The sequence below is a fragment of the Homo sapiens genome, chromosome 7 (assembly GCF_000001405.40).
Source record: "Homo sapiens chromosome 7, GRCh38.p14 Primary Assembly".
Taxonomy (NCBI): domain Eukaryota; kingdom Metazoa; phylum Chordata; class Mammalia; order Primates; family Hominidae; genus Homo; species Homo sapiens.
This window is the reverse complement of record NC_000007.14, coordinates 154,864,731-154,887,157: the sequence shown is the minus strand read 5'-3', so window position 1 is coordinate 154,887,157 and position 22,427 is coordinate 154,864,731. Positions and strand designations below refer to the sequence as shown.

The 22,427-nt window shown below is 52.2% G+C and overlaps 1 protein-coding gene and 1 long non-coding RNA gene across 13 annotated transcripts in view, besides 1 other annotated feature; one reads left to right on the top strand and one right to left on the bottom strand.

Annotated features, from left to right (window-relative positions):
* Positions 1-22,427, bottom strand: part of DPP6 (dipeptidyl peptidase like 6) — a 1,146,153-nt gene that overhangs the window by 7,128 nt on the left and 1,116,598 nt on the right. For 11 of the 12 annotated variants that reach the window (NR_157196.2, XM_047419951.1, NM_001364500.2 and 8 more), the window contains 5 exons: positions 19,065-19,163; positions 14,465-14,534; positions 11,058-11,252; positions 6,216-6,270; positions 1,414-1,525 (listed from right to left, as the gene is read on the bottom strand). Coding sequence is in view for 10 of the 12 variants with exons in the window: in XM_047419951.1 (XP_047275907.1) it covers positions 1,414-1,525; positions 6,216-6,270; positions 11,058-11,252; positions 14,465-14,534; positions 19,065-19,163 (531 nt within the window). In the remaining 2 variants the exon portion in view is untranslated. The remainder of the gene's footprint in view (positions 1-1,413; positions 1,526-6,215; positions 6,271-11,057; positions 11,253-14,464; positions 14,535-19,064; positions 19,164-22,427) is intronic. The other variant, NR_157195.2, reaches the window with a different exon arrangement.
* Positions 17,822-18,580: an enhancer, noted in NCBI's record as "H3K27ac-H3K4me1 hESC enhancer chr7:154660288-154661046 (GRCh37/hg19 assembly coordinates)". NCBI's record gives its function as "activates a minimal SCP1, AML or CMV promoter by ChIP-STARR-seq in naive H9 embryonic stem cells {active_cell/tissue: H9 hESC(naive)}" and the evidence as "EXISTENCE:reporter gene assay evidence [ECO:0000049][PMID:30033119]".
* The window catches only part of LOC105375580 (uncharacterized), a 41,837-nt gene continuing 38,984 nt past the window's right edge, over positions 19,575-22,427 (top strand). Inside the window, exons 1-2 of the long non-coding RNA XR_928190.3 lie at positions 19,575-19,769; positions 21,647-21,848. This is a non-coding gene — a long non-coding RNA (uncharacterized LOC105375580). The remainder of the gene's footprint in view (positions 19,770-21,646; positions 21,849-22,427) is intronic.

The window sequence follows — 22,427 nt, the reverse complement described above, 5'->3', positions numbered from 1 at the left end:
AAGCCTGAGGGCGCCCAGGAGACAATGAAGAGGACTGGCTGGTTTTGGGCACAGTGACCCATCAAGACATGATGGCAGCTTTTGTGTGCATTTGAATCAGACAATCTGATTCAGATTTATGTGCATTTGAATCAGACAAATCTGAAACAGCATGATGAAAGAATTAAGAAAGTCTCACTCAATTTGAAGGTGGCACCCGCATTCCTGAGGGAAGATTCCTCTTACATGATTCACATTTTGGACCAGGAGAGTTCCTGTACGAGTTAAAATTTGCACTGGAGTGAGCCCGCTGTGAAGGTGTTGGGAGACTTGGCTGCACCAGCCAGGAGGCTGCTGGGCCCACCGTGGTCCCTGCCTTGCTGGGCGGTGTCTACAGGGCTCGGCCAGCACAGCAGGGCTAGGGCTAGGTGTGGCAATGGGGGCTGGACTCGTTCCTCCAACCTGCAGGGAATGTCAGGCTCTGGCAGGACTGCGGTGGACCAGCAGCAGGAAGCCCCCTCCATTTCCACCTCACTTGCCAGCGCTGCTTAGGGTGGGGACAGCTGGAGGGAACAGCCTGGCTGCCACGGAGCCCTGACCTGAATTCAAGTTCTCGGAGCCACAGAAAAGACCTCTCTGTATATTCTAAGAAATGGGTTCAGGTCACAGAGCTCAGGTTCAGAGAAAAAGGGTTGGGTGACCATAAGGAGGAGAATGCAGGAGCCTGGAACCCCCAAACACAGCAAAGCCCTTCTGTGCCTGGACAGAGGTCTGGTTCCCACACCTGGGTGGGCTCATCTCCATCTGATCCCCACAGCAGGTCACCCTGACAGCCTGACCCCATCTCTGCCTTGTGCTCATGGAGAGCCATACTCTCTGAGGACAGGTGCTGACCAGGTGCCATTTGCATGGCCAGGGAGATGGGAAGGCAGAGCTGAGCCACGTGGACCTCGTTGAATTGCTCTATGGTAGCAATTCCCTCCCAACCATCCCTTCCTTATCTGGTAACACCTGTGCACCAAATACCCATGCCCAGGCATAGAACTCAGGGCAGGGCCCTGCTCGGATTCTTCTGGGAGCAGAGAAGGAGGGCGGCCCGGCAGGGCCTGTGGCACCTGCTCCCCTCCTGCGCACCCTGGCTTCCTCGCCCCCACTGCTGCCAGCGGAGTACTAGCTGTTTCCAACTCGTGGTCTTCATTGGGATGTGATTTGTAGGCATCTGGGGATTGACCACTTTCATTCAAAACATATTACCTGAGACCCTTCCCTCTCCTTCCCCGGGTTCTTCCATCAGCCCAAGGTGGTGACTGTGGCCTGGAGGCACCTGTGGTTAGCGGGACGGTGGTGCTGAAGGGAGGGCTGTGGGGCCACGCAGGCAGGGGGCGGGGCGGGGCGGGAGCAGAGCCCGTCGCTTGGTCCTGCAGGGCTATTTACCATAGAGTTTGAAGTCTGTTATTGGAGAGAGAGCAGAGCCGCAGGTGAATGTCTGGCCTTGATTTTCTCCCTTTGCTGGGAGGATGTAGGTGCTCAGGTAGCCACCGTAATCCTGGAGAAAGCGCAGAGAGAAGACAGTTAGGAGTCCTGGCAGTAACTCAGCATGAAGCAGCCTCGGGCAGGGAGACAGCCCCAGAGCAGCCAGTTCCATGCAGGTTCTCTCCTTTTACAAAATGTGTCACTTGGAAAGTTGTTCACGGGGCAGTAACAAGAGATGAAAAGCAAACTCCCTTCCAACTCAGCATTATGCGACGTGCGCCTTCTCCGCTTCTGGGCCTTGGTGTCAAGGGACGTGAGGATGAAATGCAACGGCGAATTGGAAAGGCAAGTGTGGACTGCACAGGTGTAAGGTGCTGTCCTTCAGGCTCAGCGTCTCTTTATGGCATTTCTTACCGCCTCCCTTGTCTGTGGGTGAGGCCAAGCCACTGCACATGATTCTGAGGGAGGGGCCAACAAGTGGCTTAGGGCGCAAGTCCTGGTCTGCACATGCTCAGCACAAGGCCGACACGAGACAGACGCTCCCAGGTGTTCTGTATTCAGGTAAGTCCTAGACTCCTGCCCTTCCCTGCCCTTGGTGGGGATGAGGAAGCCGTACTGCAACGCAGGCCTCCCCAGAGAAAAGCCCTACCTCCTTGCCTGCTCAGTGCCTTCAAGGCTGGATGCTCAGACGAGCTGCAGCCTCCGAAGGGAAGACCCCGAGGGAAACGGGACAGCACGGAACTGTCAGGTATGTGTGAGAGACAGAGCATGTGGCAGCGTGTGTGTGAGTATATGGGGGTGTGTGTGTGTGATATGTGTGTATAAACGTGTGAACATGTGCATGGGTGTATGTGTATAAGCACATGTGTGAGCATGTGTAATCCTGTGTGTGCCTATACATGTGAGAGTGTGTGCATATGTGAGCATGTGTGTATGCCTGTGTGAGCATGTATGAGTATGTGTGTAAACTTGTGCAAGCCTGTGTATGTGTGATCATGTGTGCCTGTGTGATCATGTGTGCTTGTGTGTGAGCATGTGTGTGTGTGAGCATGTATGGGTAAGAGCATGTGTATGAGCCTGTGTGAGCATGTGTATGTAATCGTGTATGTATGAGCATGTGTATGTAATCGTGTGTATGTATGGGTGAGCATGTGAGCATGTGTGCGTGAACATGTGAATGTGAATGTGTGTGAGCATGTGTATGTAATCGTGTGTGTGAGCATGTGTCAGCATGTGTATGTACTCGTGTGTATGTGAGCATGTGTATAGGTGAGCATGTGGGAGCATGTGTATGTAATCGTGTGAGCATGTGTGTGTGTATGAGCAGGTGTATGTAATTTGTGTGAGCATGTGTGTGTGAGTAGGCGTATGTAATTGTGTGAGCATGTGTGTGTGAGTAGGTGTATGTAATCATGTTTGTGAGCATGTATGTGTATGTGTGAGCATGTGTATGTAATTTGTGAGCATGTGTGTGTGTGAGCAGGTGCATGTAATCGTGTATGTGGGAGGTGTATGTAATCGTGTGTGAGCATGTGTATGGGTAAACGTGTATGAGCATGTGTGTGTGAGCATGTGTATGGGTGAGCATGTGTGTGAGCATGTGTATGGGTGAGCATGTGTGTGTGAGCATGTGTATGGGTGAGCATGTATGGGTATGTGTGAGCAGGTGTGTGTGAGTGTATGTGTGAGCGTGTGTGTGGGTGAGCATGTGTATGTGTGAGCATGTGTATGTAATCGTGTGTGTGAGCATGTGTCAGCGTGTATGTACTCGTGTGTATGTGTGAGCGTGTGTGAGCATGTGTATGTAATGTGTGTGAGCATGTATGTATGTGGGAGCATGTGTAATCATGTGAGCATGTGTGTATGGGTGAGCAGGTGTATGTAATTGTGTGAGCATGTGTGCGTGAGTCGGTGTATGTAATTGTGTGAGCATGTGTGTGTGAGTAGGTGTATGTAGTCGTGTTTGTGAGCATGTATGTGTGAGCATGTGTATGTAATTTGTGAGCACGTGTGTGTGTGAGCAGGTGTATGTAATCGTGTGAGCATGTGTATGGGTAAACGTGTATGAGCATGTGTGTGTGTGAGCATGTTTATGGGTGAGCATGTGTGTGTGAGCAGGTGTATGGGTGAGCATGTATGTGTATGTGTGAGCAGGTGTGTGTGAATGTGTGAGCGTGTGTGAGCATGTGTATGGGTGAGCATGTGTCTGAGCATGTGTGAGAGCATGTGTATGTGTGAACAAGTGTATGGGTGAGCATGTGTGTGAATGTGAGCGTGTGTGTGAGCATGTGTATGGGTGAGCATGTGTGTGTGTGTGAGCAGGTGTATGTAATCGTGTGTGTGAGCATGTGTGTGTATGAGCGTGTGTGTGACACCATGTGTATGTGTGAGCAGGTGTATGGGTGAGCATGTGTGTGTATGTGTGAGCATGTGTGTGAGAGCAGGTGTATGGGTGAGCGTGTGTGAATGTGTGAGCATTGTGTGGGTGAGCATGTGTGTGTATGTGTGAGCGTGTATGTGAGCATTTGTGTATGTGTGTGAATGTGTGAGCATGTGTATGGGTGAGCATGTGTGTGTATGTGTGAGCACATGTATGTGAGAGCATGTGTATGGGTGAGCAGGTGTATGGGTGAGCATGTGTGTGAATGTGTGAGCATGTGTGTGTGAGCATGTGTATGGGTGAGCATCCATGTGTATGTGAGTCTGTGAGCATGCGTGTTGGGAGCATGGAGTGTAGAGAACCCAGGTACCTGACTGAGACCGTGAAGCGCAGGTCATGCCAAACTCCAAGATCAACCATTTATGACCTGCACGATCGTTCCGGTGTGTTCCTTTAATAGGGCAGGGGCACCTTGTCTAATGACAATGAAAGAAGATTTTCATTTTCTGACAAATAATATTTATTGTCAGTGAACTCCACACGTCCTTACTTGTCATTCTTCGTTTTCTTTAAATCTCATTTTCCTGCAGGGCCACGCGGCCTGCTCTGGTTTAAATGAGAGACAGGCAATCTTCTGCAGGGGGGATTTTCGGTGTCGGGGGGGAAACTGCAGAACATAACGCACAGGTGCCCCCTTGCTCTCCAGGTCACCTCTGGGTGCAGGGTGGCTGCTGCTCCCCTGGGCTCTGTGTCCCAGGTCCTGCGATGCCTGACAAAGGCTGCAGCCAGATCACTGGGGCACATGCGAGGAGGAAACAGAATGGACAGGCCGCAACATGCCAAGCCACTAAAAGGATTGACGCTTTATTCTTCAGAGGAGAAATACCATTGTGGGGTCTACGGACCTCTATCTAAGGCTTGTTAAAACAAAACAGAGATGCTTATGCTCTGGAAAGACGCCCGGGATCCACTGGGCAGAATGGCAAAGGAAAGATCCCCAGCACGGAGCTCAGACAGATGTCCTCGGCGGAGCTGAGTGCGGGGGTACAGGGTGTGGGGGTGCATCAGTTGTGCTCTGACAGGTGCACAGGGTCCCCTTTCCCTTTGGCACCTCGGCTGCCTGTGCTTCTGGACCAACTGCCTGTTGAGAAAGCCTCTCTGTGTCCAGAAGTGAACTATGAAAGGCCCTGAGTGGATGGACTATATGCAAGGCACAGGAAGGAGGCCAAGCCCTCAGGAGTGGCATCCATGTGCATTTGGGGCAGAGTGACGACTGGAAAAGACTGACCACGGCCCAGGCTCCCTGCCTTTCAGCTGCCAGTCTGCTGGGAAGTCACTTCCATGAGGGTGGGGAGAGGTGATGGCTATTGACACCCAAGTTACACCTACCAATGACCCAGTGGCTTCGGGCCTCACAGGCAGTGAGTGGACATCTAGGCACCTGGAATGCACCTCTAGGGCTCTGTGCCCGGGCTCTGAACAAGGAGAGAAGCCGCCGGCCCTCCTCCTGACCACTTCACCTCCGGCAGGTAAGGAGGAGGTGTGGGAGGGCTCCTGCATCCCCTGCTTCCGGGAGCAGCCCACAGGGCAGGGCCGGGTCTCCAGTGCATGCTGGGCTCTGAGGTTTTGGAGGCGATGACGTAAGAGGCACTGTGCTGATTACTTGTCCAAGCCTTCACCTGCGGGGGTGTCACAGCAAGGCCTCCTCTGCAGGGCCTGTGCTGAGGGTCACTCCCAGAGGGAAGATGGGTCTATACCGACCCATCTGTGTGCTGGCCTTCTTGAGATCAAGAGGCCCCAGGTCTAGGCTAAGGAGAATGAGGGGCCATGTACCAGGGCCATAGTAGGTGGCGGTGCAGAGACCTAACTCCAAACCGTGGGCCTCAGCTACAGCTGAGCTGTCCCAGGCTACAGCCTTCTGACAAGGGCCACCAGATGGGAGCGGCTCTGGTTTGAGAGTTCACTGCGCGACCCTCCCCACACCTGTGCTTCCGTCTAAGTAGACATGGTAATTAACGTTGTTACTCCACATCGAGTTATCCAGAAATAGATTCCTGCTTTGCTTCTTTCCTGGCTACCATGCCAAGAGCTACAGCAGATGGATGGGAGAAAAGTCATTAGGAATGTATTAGAGCTCTCCTGCGGGGACTTGGCTTCCCTTCTCTTTCCTTCCAGATAATGTAAAAAGAAACTTAGGAAAATGAGCTGATCAAATGAAACCTCCCACGGCTGGAATCACTAAGCACCCAGGCTCTTGATTTTAAAAAATTACTTGCTCACCAGCAGACCACAGACGTTCTCAATAAATCAGGATTAGACGTGGGTAATGGTGCAGGCCACACTGGAACTGAGGGGTTTTCAGACCAGGGTGGCGCAGACTCACCTTCCCAAACACGGCCACGCGCGTCCTGTCAATGTACTGCTCCTTCAGCATCGTCCTGTGAGGTCGAGGAGGGGAAAGAGGGTTCAGTGCACATCCTGCTGCCACTTTGTCTTCCTGTAGCCCAGAGCCATGTTTTCCATCCATTTCAAGGATGAAAACCCCTCTTCAAATAAAAAGCAACCTTAGCATTCCAATATAATTATTTATTGCTTTTATTTATTTAGTGCCAAGTCAGCATGTTCACGTTAAAACCTCAAAGCACCCTTGCAATAACTCTGTAGCACTTCCAGGTATAGAAGCTTCTCGACTGCGAGCCATTAATCCACAGCCGCAGAGCCCCTTCTGGGAGACGCAGCCCCTGTTGCATGGGGTCCATCTGCTGCTATTGGGCCCCCACCCAGAGCCTGTGACTCCAAGCACGCGGGCTCTGGGATGAGCCTTAGGGGTCGGCAGGAATCTGTGGAGCTCTGGTTCTATGCTTCTGGGCTCAGAGTCAAGCCAGTGAGACCCCATCCCACCTGCACAGCCTTCTGTTCCCAATTCCTGGGAGGAGGCCCCTGTCTTGTACCTGTTTGGCCACAGAGGGATTCTTCCCATGAGCTTCCTGCTACGGCCCAGCCTTGGCAGCAGCCGCTTGGTGCTCTGGGCCTCAGTGCTCTGGGCCAGTGCTGCCTGGGTCCCTGCCTCACCCTTGCTGGGACCTTGCCCCGCATTGTGGTCTTCTGCTTCCCCCACGAAGTGGCTGGGGTCCTTCCGGTTTCTGGACCTCAACCAGCAGCAGGACGCCTGCAGGCTGTGGGCTTGTTGCTTGTTAGATGGAAATTATTGTCTGTCTGGATTTTACCTCAAGCCAAGCCATAATGTCAAGTGTGGAGTTAGAGATATTTTTAGACATTTTCTAGTAAAGAGGAGAAAATATAATTTCTTTTCTCAACCCTTATGAGTTCCTGGTCGAGACACTGTCACTGTCCTGAAAATGAAAGTCAGATGAACAAGAGGAAAACCGGAAGAGATTTCCTGGCGTGCGCTGTGCCCTCCACGTGGCGGAGGCCTCAGTTCCAGTGCCTCTTAAGGCAGTGGTGTAGGGGCCCTGTTTACACAGTATTTTAACAAAGAGCCATAACTCTCAGCATAGTGACCAGGCAAAGGAGAGAGCAGCTCCAGTCTTTTATTTATTTACGGTTTTCTTTTTGAGATGGAGTTTGGCTCATTGCCCAGGCTGGAGTGCAGTGGCGTGATCGTGGCTCACCGCAACCTCTGCCTCCCAGGTTCAAGCGATCCTCCTGCCTCAACCTCCTGAGTAGCTGGGATTACACCTGGCTGATTTTTGTGTTTTTTTTTTTTTTTTTTTTTTGAGACGGAGTCTCGCTGTCGCCCAGGCTGGAGTGCAGTGGCACAATCTCGGCTCACTGCAGGCTCCGCCCCCTGGGGTTCACGCCATTCTCCTGCCTCAGCCTCCCGAGTAGCTGGGACTACAGGTGCCCGCCACCTCGCCCGGCTAATTTTTTGTATTTTTTTTTTTTTTTAGTAGAGACGGGGTTTCACCGTGTTAGCCAGGATGGTCTCGATCTCCTGACCTCGTGATCCGCCCGCCTCGGCCTCCCAAAGTGCTGGGATTACAGGCGTGAGCCACCGCGCCCGGCCGATTTTTGTGTTTTTAATAGAGACGGGGTTTCACCATGTTGGCCAGCTGGTCTTGATTGAACTCCTGGACTCCGGTGATCCGCCCACCTGGGCCTCCCAAAGTGCTGGGATTACAGGCGTGAGCCACCATGCCCAGCCCCCAGTCTTTTAAAAGGAGGGAACCTGTGAGAAGGCAATGCAATCTGCCCCCAGAGACCCTGGCAACGGCTGGGACCCTCTCTGGGCTGATGAGCAGGTGCTGTCCCCAGGAAGGAAGGATGGATGTCCTGGCGTCTGGCAAACAGGGGCAGAGGCAGAGAGTCCCTGTGTTTTCAGTATCTTTCACTTAGCAGGTCTCAATATTTTGGGGATAACTATTTTGGCTTCCTCCACTAGCTACGTGAACAAATGAGTAAATAAAAATGAGGCATTTCTGCTGCTCCTTAGCACATGACCCAGGGTGTCTGTGTGTGTACACATGAGCACGTAGGACCCAAAAGAAACAATCGTGAAGAAAATCCCAAGTTGAGCCCAGAGACAACCTGTCTCTAGGAGACAGGAGCCCACCGGCCCTAGTCGGGTTTACACAGCTGCCCGCTGCCTTCCACAGGGGTGGGACGAGCTCCCTTCCACAGCTCATCTCAGCTGCTCGTGGGAGGCTGGCCTGTGGGCTCCTCGGTGAGGATATGGTGGTGGTGGACGGGGGAACTGTGGGAGTGGGAGGAGTCAGGCTAATGTGTCAGCCTCCTGATTTTAGGTTTCCGATCAAATTGGGCTATTTCTTTCTGATGAATGAAAATGCAGACCTCGTTCCTAGGGAGAGCTGAGGGAGGCTTTCTATGGCTTGGCGCCATTGGGCATCAGCTTCCTAAGAAAGTCTGTGCTTTGGCAACGGCTCTAAGCTTTGCCGTTGTCCACACGCTCCCATTCTTTGAGCTTCGGTGGTTTAGGAGTTGGCATTATTGACTTTTTCCAGAACAGGTTCTGCCTTGTTTTGGAACAGATGGTTGGGCCCATTCCTTCTTTTTAGGGCACGACGTGTGTGTGTGTGAAACACCTTTGCCCTCTAATTCCTGTGCTCTTTGGGGAAGATGCCAGGCAGAGCCAAGTGTCGAAGGGGAGCCTGAGGGTGCTGCGACTTTCCCCTGGGCCTGCCCTTGATGGCGGGGAGGCCCCGGGCTTCCAAATCTCCCTGGGAGGAGATAGAGCAGGTGGGGTGAGGAAAGAGCAGGAGATGGCAGGGGAAGCCACACACAAATGAAAAAGACCCAAAGGAGGAGGTCTGGGAAGCCAGGAGAGCACTCGTGCCCCCACCCAGGAAGCCAGGCCCACTCCACTCCAGAGCGCAGCCTGGGCCGGCTTCCGTGTCCTGGGAGTCCTCTGTGGCTGGCACTGCCCGCTGCTGACCCAGCAGCCACCCACCCATCCTCCTTCCACACTGAACCCCAGCATTCCCTTGTCACCCCACATCCTCTGCTCAGGGGCTGGCCCCACACTGGTGTCAGACGGACCCACTTGGTCTCTGGGGGGGCTGCCTGCACCTGTCTCACTGGTGGCAGGTTCTGGAATGGGCAGGGGAGGGCCAGGGAGATGGAAGGAGAGGTTTGCTGTCTGCTTGTGGGGAGACTTTCCTTTCCTTTCTGGAAGTTTCTAAAAGTGGTTTCCTCCCCAACCTGCTGGAGGTAGATGACGAAGCATGGAGCCAGGTGCTACTGAGGGCCACCCCGTGACTGAGGGCTCGGCTTAGGATGAGACCATCATGGCTGGCTGGGCGGAGAGACGGAGAGAGCCTGGGTCGTTGGTGACATTGTTGGTGTCTGGATTCATCAACCTTGAGACCTGACATCCCTGTGTCTTTTGTAGCCAATATAGTTCCTTATTTGAGAGGTGTGTGTGTGTGTGTGTGTGTGTGTGCACGCACACATGTGTTGTTGTAGTCATTGACTTCCAGGCAAAGGCATCCTGGCAGACACTCCTTCCCTGAGTATCTGAGTCCTGAGAGCTCTCCCGCTCCGTATTTCCCAGCTGCAACACGGGTTTCTGAAGCAATTGCTTTGTCTGCCATCACCCAGCTCATAGCTCCCTGGAGGAGGACCGGAACCATTCATTCACACGCTCATTGTTTTCCATTGAAAGACCATTCGCTGAGTACATACCAGGGCCGTCAATCTTTTTCAAAATGAGGAGAAATGTTTTCAAAGTCAGTTGAGTAAAAATTTCCAAACGCACAAAGCACCCTGGTATAATAGGTACAGAGATGCCAGGTCCAGTCAATAAACATGTACTGAGCTGGGCTCTGTGCTCCACCCTCCTTGTGTGCCCGGGCCCAGCCTCACGCTCCCCTGCCCATAACGGTGATGATCATGGTCGCGGCGGGGGTCCCTGGTAGATGCGCTTCTCCCTGCCTTCTTGTCATTCTCAGAACCCAAGTCCACAGTCCGTTGAGCTGTTCCTGCAGCATCTCTAAGGGGTGAAGTTAGAGTAAGTGCTGCAGTCCTCTGTGCCATCAGACTGTGAAAACTGCTTCTACAAAATGAGCCTGAAGGCCAGCTGCAGCCTGGCGCAGTGTCTTGATGTCTTTTTATTTCCAGTGCAACAATAAGATTCAATAAGTCATTTGGAGCATCTGCCCCTTGGTGCTAAGCCTCCTTTTGTTTCTGTGATGTCGGTTGCTCTTGCTGAGTCAGTGATAGGGATGCACAGGAATGACAGAACAAAAGCCTGCCCTTCCTCAGAGCCGGGAAGGGCATTCTGGCCCCACCTGGATGTGCATGGAGGTCCTGCTCTCAGTAACGAGGGTGACCCATTTCCACGGATCCAGCCCCATTCATATTCCTTCCCTTTTTCTGTCCTTCCTTCCTGATCTCTTCTCTCCTCCCCTTGGGATAAATGGCAAAGACATGCGTGGACACTGGCCCGGGTCAGTGACCACAGCGCAGAAAAGCCAAGCCAACCCAACCGGCAATTTCTATCCCCTTGTTTTAGTCAACTCAACAATCTACCCTGCAGTGGGAAAACTAGTTATAAATGTCCCTAGGAGAAGATTCCTAAGTTTCCTTTGAAACTTCTTTGGAATGGCCAAGAGATTTTAGGTAAGAGCAAATTGCATGAAAAATGTGTGCGTGGAGAAAAAGCATTCCCGCACTGTGACTGCGGTGCTGCCCCCATGAGGAGCCCCGTCCCCTCCCGGCCTCTCCTGCTTCCTGGGCGGGTGCTCACCGCACGGCCTCCATCTGGTCCTTCTCCTCCAGCAAGCCCAGCCGCCGCCTCACTTCGTGCAGGAGCTTGGTCCCTTGGAAGCCGCTGCCACGGCCGTCACACTTTACCACCACCGCGCCGTGGCTGCTCACCATCACCGTCTCCCAGCTCACCTCGAACTTCTCAGCCACACTCTGGCTGCCTGGGGTGCCATCCCTGGAAAGAGAATCCCGGGCTCAGCAGGCCTGCTGCGTGGTGGGTGGCGGCTGGTCTAGCAGCTGCCACGTCAGATGACCCCCGTAAGGGATTTTACCCGTGACCCGGCTGCCACACGCTCAACTCCATACCCCAGATTCTGTTGCCCCGGGCAGGTGAGCCAGGTGTTATCCACACCCCATAAAGTGAGGAGGAAGAGGAGACCTCCAAGAGCCTAGGACACCCAGGGCCATCCCTACACACACCGGCGCTGTCTGGGACGGCCACCAAAAAGCATCTATTTGGTGAGGGAAACAATACAAATCCTCCCACCTTCTCCCTGCGGGGACCTTCCCTACACGGCAAGAAGGTTTCTCTTTCCTGGGTTCTAGATGTCCCAGGCTGTACCTCTCAGTACCCATCACAAGTGACAAGGCCGCGCTGACTCTAGCCACATCCCTGGCTTGAAGACGTGGTCTGTCTCTTGTTAAGTCGGAAGTAACAGCAAACCCGCCATATGGGTGGCCTTTCTCCCTCCCTCTGCTCGGGAGTCAAGGAGCCATTGGCTCTGGGCAGTGTGGCCTCCGACCTGGGCTGGCGGCTCCCACTGTGCTCTCCTCCCAGCTCTTCATTTGCGAGCCCAGCACTGCTGGCTGAAAGGCATCCATGGTGGGGCATTTGGACCATGGGATTCGACCAGTGCCACAAACAGGGCTGTTTTCTTTTTCCTCAAACAGGGCTGTTCCCTCCCTTCCTCCCTCCCTCCCCTCCTTCTTTCCTTCTCTCTCTCTCTTTCTTTTCTTTTCTTCTTTTTTTTTCTTTTGTTTGAGACAGGGTCTCACTCTGTCGGCCAGGCTGGAGTGCAGTGGCACAATCTTGGTTCACTGCAGGCTTGACCTCTGGGGCTCAAGCAATCCTCCCACTTTTGCCTTCCAAATAGCTGAGACCACAGGCATGTGCCACCATGCCTGGCTAATTAAAAGAAAAATCTGTTAATCTGTAGAGATGGGGTCTTGCTATGTTGCCCAGGCTGGGAACAGGGCCATTTTCTATGCAGGACTGGTTGTTCCTCATTGACCAGCATACTTATGGGTGTGGGGAAGTTTTTAAGTGATTTTCCCTCTTGCCGGGAAAAAGATGGACAGGAGAGAAAGTCAGCCCCAGGTCCAGCCTGCCTCCCTGGAACAGCAGGGAGCAGTGCCCCAACTGAGAGTGGCTCCAGCCAGGTGACTGCTTCGACCACGGGCACTCTCCCAGCTGTCTGCCAAGGGCTGAGGAGTGGGGTGGGGGCAGGAGGAGCGGGCCAGGAGCGGCGCGCTCGAGTGCTGCATGCTTAGGGTCCTGGTGAGTCATGGTGCTGCTCTATGTCGAGTGTGCCTTTGTTTTCTTTTGGATTTTTTTAATCTGAAGCAGGGGCTCAGGGACTCCAGATCTCCTTGCTATCACATTTGATGTCACAGTGAGAAACAAACAAAAAGACACAGCCTCCAAGGCAAGCTAGCAAGGCCAGAGTGAGTGTGCACCCAGGGGGTGGGGTTGCCTGGCCGGTCCCGTCCGAGCTCAGCAGAGCTCAGCTGTCTCCACCGGGCACGACCACTTTTACCTCTGAAGGGAAGGAGAATTGTTTTGTAAACTGAAATGCTTTTGGGGATTTCCTTTAAGATCACTGAAGAAACCAGTGTGCAGGGGAAGAAAGCTGGTTCGGAAGTTGTTAGCATCCTGGAGAAAGTGGGGAAAATCTGGTTTAGTAAGAGAAAGGAGGCAGGAAACGTGTGTGGTGTGTGTGCACATGTGTGGGGTGTGTGGGTCTGTGGGTGTGGGTGTGTATAGATGTGTGCATGTGTGCATGTGTATATACACATACATGTGCATATGTGCTGCATGTGGATGCGTATGCACACGTATGTGTGTGCATGTGTGTGTATGTGTGCATGTGGGTATGCATGTGTGTGCTTATGTATGCAGGTGCGTGTGTGTGTGCATGTGTGCACATGTGGGTGTGTGCATGTGTGTGTGCCTATGTGTGTGGGTGCGTGTGTGTGCATGTGTGTGCCTGTGGGTGTGTGTGCATGTGGGTATGCATATGTGTGTGTTTATGTATGCGTGTGTGCATGTGTGTGTGTGGATGCATGTGTGCACATGTGGGTGTGTGTGCATGTGCGTGTGCCTGTGTGTGGGTGCGTGTGTCTGCATGTGGGTGAGTGTGCATGCATGGCTGCTGGGAAAGTGTGAAAGCAGTCCAGATATTAAGGAAAGTGGGTTAATTGCAAAACGGAATCAGCTATTGGAATCTGTGCCCTGGGGCGTTTCTATAATGGAACCTTTTTGCTATTTAGGGACTCAGCCCTCAGGAAGGGAGCAGGGCAAGACACCAGGGTTAATCAGAGCTCCATCAGGTGCCAGCGTTTACTCAGGGGGTAGTTGCACTGGCATCCTTAACACAGCCCAGCATAGGCCTCGCTTCAGCCGGCTCTCCCAGGCTACGAGGGGTGCAGGAGTTTCTCCTGCTCCGTGGTCTTGAAAGTACAGACCAGGAGGTGCATTGGGGCATTTGCTCAACGGTCCAGGTGGCCCCCTCTGCACTGCCTCCCCGTGCGGTGTCAGCGCGTGGACATCACCTAGACTCAGGGCTGTCAGGCAACATTTGAACCTATGCACAGGGCACTGGGCCGGCTCCTAGCACTGAGTTCCCTAATCAGACCCAACACCTTCAAGGCATTTACAGAGCACAAAAAGTTGTTCTCAAAACCCAAACCGGAGGCTTTATTAATGAATATAAGAAAGAGCTGAAAAAATTCTTTGCTGGTGAAAAAAGGGCATTCACGGCAGTGGCCAGAAATGCCAGCCAGTGAGACCCACGGGCTCAGGGTGCGGGTCCCAGGCTCCAGCCATCTTGTGTCTCTGTGTCTTGGGACCTGTCCCCTGCCAGCCTCCGGTGAGCCTGTCATGCAAAATGCCACTACGATGATCCCAGCAGCCTCACTTTATGGTCACAGAACCTGAGGCAGCCTGGGGAGAGGCGGTGGGTACACAGCACCCACTTTCCTTTAACCTCTGGGTGTCTCCAAGATTCCTAAAGAACCTGACATTGGGCTAAACGATGTTATGTTTTCAGTTTGCAACAATGTCATTTCTCCTGCTTATCTTTTCTTAAGAGTTCAATATTCCTTTATCATGGGTGTCACGGAGCCCCAGAACGAGCACCAGGGAAAGACAGATGTGACGATACTTACACCACCAGGAGCAGAGGGTAGTGGGTGGTGTCGGTGAAGGTTGCTGGCTTCAGTATCTGCATGGGCAGGTCTGGGGAGAAGCAGAGCACAGCACGGGTTAGGGGGCAATGCTGGCCACGGGGTATCGGGCATGCCCTTGGGTGACCGTGGGGGTGAGGGTGCTCTGGGTGGGGCCTGAGGGGAAGCCCACAGACAGAGACTGGCCCAGGGTTTTCATCCTGAGGACTCTGGCCTGCTGCGCGGCCTTGGGCAAGTCACCCGACCTGTGTGAAGCTTCATTTCTCTGAAGCTTCCATTCAGTCTTGCATATGGGAGTGCACTGAATGCACGGAAGACTCGATGGCCCGGGCACTCGCTAGCAGCAGAATTTCAGGCAGGGAAATATGGTGCCCTGAGAGCAGGAGGGCTGCCTGCGGCAACAAAGGCATCTCTCAGCATCTGATCGGGGATGCTGGGGATGGATATTTGGGAGCAGGGAGGCAGGGAGAGGAAGAGATAGAGGGTCAGGGGAGACAGGGGGCCGCCTAGAGGGGAGAGGGTGCCGGCCCATGGCAGTGCCTCTGTGCAGAGCCAGGTGGATCTGTGGGTCTTGCTGTTGGCAGGTTTGTGCTGGGTGGCTCTATGGCTATGCTGCAGCCACAGCTAGGGGAAGCCAGGGAAGGATGGTACAGCCCATTGGATCCCGTGGCTACCAAGGTCACTGGATCTGGTCCTCAGCAGCATGAAATCCAGTGGGTGAGGGAGAGTGGGTAGGAACCAAACCTCAAAAACCTGCCTCACCAATTTCTTCTGTGCCCCCTACCTTCCAACAAATCTTCCCATCCAAGTTGAATTTATTTGTTGATGTTAACTACAACCCAGATTACCAAAGGCACAGCAATTAAATTGGAATTAGCGGCTTTTCAATACAATTACTACACAGATACACTGCAGGCTTGGGTGGCTGGCTGGGCAGCCAGCTCTGACCTGGCGTCTCATTACTGATTCGGGCTGAATGTTAATGGCTTGCAAATTAGCTCAATGGCCCAGGGACTGGCGGAGAGGCAGGCCTTGGACTTCATCATTTAAATTCCATAAAACATGGTCTGGGCTGCTCCCTGCCACTGATAAGCCCAAGGGCAGACCTTGGAAACCATGTTCTGACTGGCTGAAAACATTTCAGGGGAGCCCTTCTGGAAGATGTCCTACTTTTCTAAAAAATACAAAATAAAATAAAATAAAGAAAAGCATTAGCCTCTGGTAGCATAAAGTAAAAAAACAAAACCAAGTCAGGTCGGTAGGGCTGACATCTTTCAGATTTCCTGCGATCCCTAAGGGGGTCTTCCTGATGCTGGGCTCATACAGGTGCCCCACATCCTCTCCTGGCATCTGTACCCACCCACCTTTTAAGGAAACCCCCTGCTGGACAGAGTGTGTGGCAAGGGTGGGAAAGCTGGCTTTGTGCTTTGAAAGGTCTTTTCTGCATTTCCTAAGAGGAAGGGATGACAGTCACACACCAGTGCTGCAGGCTTGGGAAGCGTTACTGGGACAGCAGTGGGTAGAGTGGGCTGGAGGAGGAGGAGGCCAGGCCTAAGGAGCTCAGAAAGGGATCTTGCCAGGGTGACAGTCTGGCCGCCAAGGCTGCGGAGGAGCCTCGAGCTGAGAACAGAGGAGCTTCAGAGACATGCCGGGGCAATGGTTTCTCCATTGGGCTGGGATAACACACACATTTTTTTTTTTTTTTTTTTTTTTGAGATGGAGTCTCATTCTGTCACCCATGCTGGAGTACAGTAGTGCGATCTCAGCTCACTGCAACTTCCGCCTCCTGGGTTCAAGTGATTCTCCTGCCTCAGCCACCCCAGTAGCTGGGATTACAAGTGTGCACCACCACACCCAGCTAACTTTTGTATTTTTAGTAGAGACAGAGTTTCACCATGTTGGCCAGGCTGGTCTTGAACTCCTGACCTCAAGTGATCCGCATGCCTCGGCCTCCCAAAGTGCTGGGATTACAGGCGTGAGCCACCGTGACTGGCCAATACACACATTTCTTGGCCAAAGCAGCTTGTCACAGCCTCCATTTTTTGTTTGTTTGTTTGTTTTTTGTTTTTTGAGACAAAGTCTCACTCTATTGCCAAGGCTGGAGTGCAGTGGTGCGATCTTGGCTCACTGCAACCTCTGCCTTCTAGGTTCAAGTGATTCTCGTGCCTCAGCCTCCCAAGTAACTGGGACTACAGGCACATGCCATCACGCCTGGCTAATTTTTGTATTTTTTTGTAGAGATGGGGTTTTACCATGTTGGCCAGGCTTGTCTTGAACTCCTGACCTCAAGTGATCTGCCCTCCTCAGCTTCCCAAAGTAATGGGAATCCAGGCATAAGCCACCATGCCCAGCCCTTGTTTATGGTTTTCTTGAATTTCTCTTCTTCCTCCTCTAGGCTGGGCATGATGGCTGACACCTATAATCCTGGCACTTTGGGGGACTGAGGCAGGATTGCTTGAGCCCCGTAGTTCAAGACCAGTTTGGGCAACATAGTGAGACCCTGTCTCTACGAAAAAAAAAAAAAAAAAAGAATTAGTTGGGCATGTGGCCTGCCTGTGGTCCCAGCTACTCAGGAGGCTGAGGTGGGAGGATCACTTGAGCTCGGGAGGTCAAGGCTGCAGTAACCCAAGATCGTACCACTGCATTCTAGCCTGGGGGACAGAGTGAGACTCTGTCTCACACACAGACACACACAAAATTATTCTTTTTCTCCTAGACCATTCCCTACTCATTTCGTTCATGCCCCCTTCCCTGGCGTGGTCACCTTCAGGGTATTTTAAGAGAGACAGCCTTTGGACATGTGAGTGTGTTGGGGGCAGGGGTGGGGGTGGGGGTGGGGGCGGGAGCGGATCTGAAGTGCATCAAAATTCCAGAATGTTCTGACTTTCAGAGGTGAATGCAATGTCCAGAAAAGTTGTGATAGAGCATAGCTTCCTGTGGCCAAATGGCGGGGCCAGAAGTTTTTGGCCCGGACCTGTGGTGGGCTGCAGGGAGGGCGTGGTGAGCACAGGCGAGTGAGGGTCCCTGTGCAGGGCCCACACCTGGGCTGTCCTGCAGGCTGGGACTCCAGGGCAGCCTCCAGACCCAGCCACACTGCACTGCACTTGCCCTTGCCTAAGACCCCTCACGTTGCCCTCTTCTCTGGATTGCACGGTCTCCTCTTGTGAGCCCACCTGATGCTGACTCTAGGGACCATGTTCAAGTCCCACGTTCCGTGAGCATTCCCACATGTCCCCAGCCCAGTCTCATGCTCTTCTCTGAATTCTCGTGCTATTTACTTTCTGCTCTACGCAATGCAGCTTTGCAGCACGTACTGTTTGGGGGACCTGTTTTTGTTTCGTGGGGTGAGCCTTGGTACCTGCTCTTGGGAGCTGAGTCTGTTAGGTGATTGTGTCTCCTCTAAGCTGCTGAGCACAAGGGGGCTGCCAGCGAATACCCTAGGCTCCAGGCGACACGCTGCTGTCTCGTGTCAGGGAAGGGCAGACAAAGAGGTTCCAGAGACGGTCTAGGGATGGCAAACGCAAGGTGTGTGGCTCCTCCCCCTGCCCTTTCAGCTCAGTGTTACTTATCAGCCTCAACACGCTTTCCGCCGAGCTCTGGAAACCTTCCCTTTCAACAAAGAGCTCCTGCAGTTACTATCAGTCAGTCGGAGTTTGCACAGGAGGGAAACCCGTTTACAGCCTCAGAGGTGATGGGTAAGTGGTGTCTGCATGAATGACTCAAAGACAGCTTCAAGGTTTGAAGTCTCAGTTATTCGACACCAACTTACCACCAAAAGGCTGCTATGCATAGAGGTGGGGAAGTCTGGAGCGGGACAGAGTTCTGGGGGAAGACAGTGAAATCCGCTGTGGGCATTTTACACTTGGGTTTCCAAGAGTAACGACCTGGTGGGCAGTGAGGACACGGGGCCAGCCGGGTGACTTGGGAGCCATCTGTGCGGAGGTGGGAGTTGAGGCTCCGAGGCTCTGCCTCCCTCCTAGAGCTGTGAGTCCAGGTCCAGCTAATGCTCTGGGGTGTTTAGTGCTTAGCAACGCCTAGCACAGAGTTAGTGCCCAGGAGAACTTACCGAATGACTGGAGGGACAGTTCAAGGAAAGAAGGGCACAGGCAGAGAAAGGCAGAGTGAGAAGCATTTCCTAGGGAGTAACAGCACTCAAACCTCCTCACGTAAACCCTGGCTGCAAGGACGCCCCTCATCAGCCCATAATCCACCAGCTGATGAGGCAGGAAGGACTTCAGATGGCACAGAAAGGGAATTTCCAGAGGGAAGAGGTTTTTCTGGACGGTGTCTTGACACGGTCACCAAAGAAGGAGAGCGTTGGAGTCTGTGGTCTTGCTTTGAAGCAACTGTCAGCCTCTCAGGGAGAGAGATCCTGTGCCCTGCTTTTTTTGGTTTTGTCACCAGAGTGAGCATCTTGGTTCTGAACACAAGACACTCCATGCCAGAGGAGCTGAGGGGCAAAGATACACCCCCGTGCTTGGGGAGTCTTCCTTGCAGGGCACCTGCTGCTGATGACTGCACTGTGTCACAGCCCACGTTTTCTTTTTCTTTTTCTTTTAGAGGGGAAAAACGTAGTACTTACTGTAATCATCAATCTCAATGTCCCTGTATTCCACTTTAGGCATCTGTCGGTCATTTATGGCCTTCTTGACATGTTCATTTGTTTCTAGGTCAAACATTTCTGAAAGAGAGGAAACAGGGACACACTGAGATGCAGTGGTCACTCATGGAGGACCTCTGCGGGCCATGGCTTTTCATGTGCGTAACTGCTGCTTTCATCAGCCTCAGAGGTGATTATTATTATTTCTAGTGTACAGAAAAAGAAACTGGGCATTAAAAAACACGCTCAAGTTATGCGCTCAAAAGCCTAGACTCAAATCTGGAATTTGGGTGGATTAAAGATTCTCCCCACCGTCTTAGGCTTTCTCCTTCCCCCACCAGAGGTTTTTGTTCTCCGTGGCGTCACACGCACAGGTTTTGGTATGATTCTTCCCATGACTGCTGGTTTTAAGAAAACCTACATTACACATCTGTTAGGACAAATGGTTTTCCAAAAATTGTGGCCATAATAACCAGAAAAGGAAAGGTGGGTAGAAACTAGGGTATCATCTTTATTAAATGTTCCCAGAAATAAAATGGATTCTGATCTCTCTCCCAAAACAGAAGATAAGCTGGTCTCTGGAGAGACCTTAACTTCGGTGACTGTATTTGTGGACAGTGGAGTCGTGTGAGCCTTGCTTCACACTGCAGTGGGACTGGCTGTCCTCCCTCCGTGGTAGAGACCAAGGTCAGTTCTGCCCTGTGGTGTGGATGCGCTGGACCTTTGTGCCTCTGCCGCGACAGCACACACACGTCCTCGTTATCTATTTCTTCAGATGCAAAGAAGTCCCCTGAGGAACTCTCCGTTCATGTACTGAAATGGCCATTCTGTTTCATTTCACCATCTGACGTGTCATAAAAACCACCCAACTTCCTTTCTCCCTTCTCACACTAAGCCTACACATGGGGATAACTTGTGGTTCATTGTGAAAGGGAATTTTTCTGCAAGGAACTTTGCCTTTGGCTCGTCAAATCACTTGGAAGCAGCTGCAATTTGTGCATTTGTTTAAAGCGTAAACAAATGATCACAAACAATGCTAGAATGGATGTCCAGTCATCCTCCCATATAACTCCCTTGAAAAAAAAAAAAAAAGCTGCTCTGCAGGTGGGCGCTTCTCCGGGGCAGCTGGAGGTCAAATGACCGCCCATAACTAGGAGAATCTGGACGTGTGGCTTTGTGTGGAGAACATGGGGCTGTGGCTTTATTCAAGAACTCTGCCCAGAAGGCCTGGCAACCTTCTGTAGAGGAACAGGGGGAAATGGAAGCTCCCAGCGCTTGTGACGAGTACATAAAATGAAAATGACTTGCAAGTTGCTGGACACATTTGAATATTGAGCTTTGATAAAAAATAAGGGGAGAAATAGTGACACTAGTTTTCAAACAGGTAGAGTTTTAACAAATCTGACGTTAGACCACCACTGGGAAAGGTTCCGAACACCACGTAGCATGCGAGAAACGTGTCCCTTGCAGGACACGTGTCCCAGCAGGAAACACAGCTACGTCTGCAAGGGGTGTCTGCAGTGGTGAAGTCCAAGGGAAGTCCAAGTAGACTTGACCTTAACTCTGAGACCCAGAGACTTGGCTGCAGAGGTGGCGCACTCTCCCTCACAGGCATGCACGTGAGTTAGGGGAGGTGCACTCCACCCCAAGGGGCCTGCATGCCCCTGCGCCAGCTTCACAGCCTCAGCCCATGTTCCTAATGGATGGGCGGCAGCACTCATTGGTGCTGAGTCCAAATGCCCTCAGCCCTTTAATGCAATGCTCCAGGCACACACTCAGGTGAGAGGAGTTGGTTTATGAGACAGTGACTGCATATCATTCATGTTCTATTCACAGTTACAGGAAAGGAAGACTAGCAGGGAGTGCTGCCTGGTAATGAAGAGAACAGCATTTCCCAAGCTCTTTGCTGCCCCAGGGCCTTTGCACGTGCTGCCCTGTGTTTGAAATCTTCCTTGCTAGCTCCTTCTCCTCCATCAACGCAAGCGTTACCTCCTCCAAGAGGGACCTGACCACCCTATCTCAGGCACCTGTCAAGCTCTCTGGATACACTTAACACCAAATGAAAGTTTTGGTCATTTTCCTGGCAGCAAATCCTTCTCCCTACCCCTCGCCAAGGTATCAGTGTTCAGTCCTATCCCAGAGACGAAATGCACTAGTTTTGGGTACCCGGGGTAGATGGGTTTGTGGAAAATCGATTCATATCTTGGAAATTAAGCATCTTTAGATGGTAACGAGTCTGGGTTTCTACCCAAGTCTTTCTCCTTGTTCCCATGTGGCCCCAGGAAACTAAACAGGACCGAGGAGAGGTCCTCCTGAGTGTCTCAGGAAGCTGCAAAGGTCTTCAGGGCTCAGATCTCTTGAACGGTAAGAGTTGGAAAAACTGAGGCCAGACTATCAACCAGTGTTTCCCACACAGCTCAGACCCGAGGACCCAAAGCAAACTGCATTAAATTGATGGAAAAGTTTCTGGTGTTTAGAAATTGATGGAAAAGTTTCTGGTGTTTAGAAGTTGATGGAAAAGTTTCTGGTGTTTAGAAGTTGATGGAAAATTTTCTGATGTTTAGGAGACTAATGATGCACCTAAGTTAATTCACTCGACTCTGGGACTATGAGGCAGTTCATCCACACGCTCCAAACTCCAGCTTATTGTAGGAGACCAGTGCCTCGATCTCATGAGGTCATCTCGACGCCTCAGCTGTAACCCTTGGAGAACCTGTGGTCTCTGCTCCTCTGCCTGCTGACATGATCATCCCAGGTGCAAAACAGGTGAGGAACTTGGGGTGTGCAAATGTGGGTCAAATGATGGAAGTGACAACCGATGAAGATCAGGGGAACTGGCAGGAGCAAAGGTAGAAAGACCCTACCAATGAGAACAGAGATGGGCTTCTTGCTATCAGTTAGCTTCTGCTTCTGGGTCCCAGAAAGGGCTTCAGCTGGGGGGGTCTGCTAGTGGCAAGAGCCTGTCTGGATGGCCAAATCTCAAACTGAGAGAAAATGGGGACAGACCCTCTTACAGCTGGTTAAAGTACGCTCTTGTCTCCATATATATGCATGTGAATTTGATGTTTCAGCCGTCAGTGTGCGATCTCAAATGCTGGTCATGAAGGAGAAGGTTAAACTCAGGGAGCAATGTTCTCTGCTGCCTACTGAGTTAAGCTTGCCTAGAGCTAACGGAACACAGGCTGGCCACCAAACAGCCCGTTACCAGTTTCCGGATCTGAGAGTTCTGGTTTCATGTGGGAACGCACCATGTTCTAATCGCTCATGGACTACACAGGCTGCGTGTGAATACCTCGTTCCTCTCTATTGAAATCCCACCCTTCACAGGAAAGCACCAAAGCAACA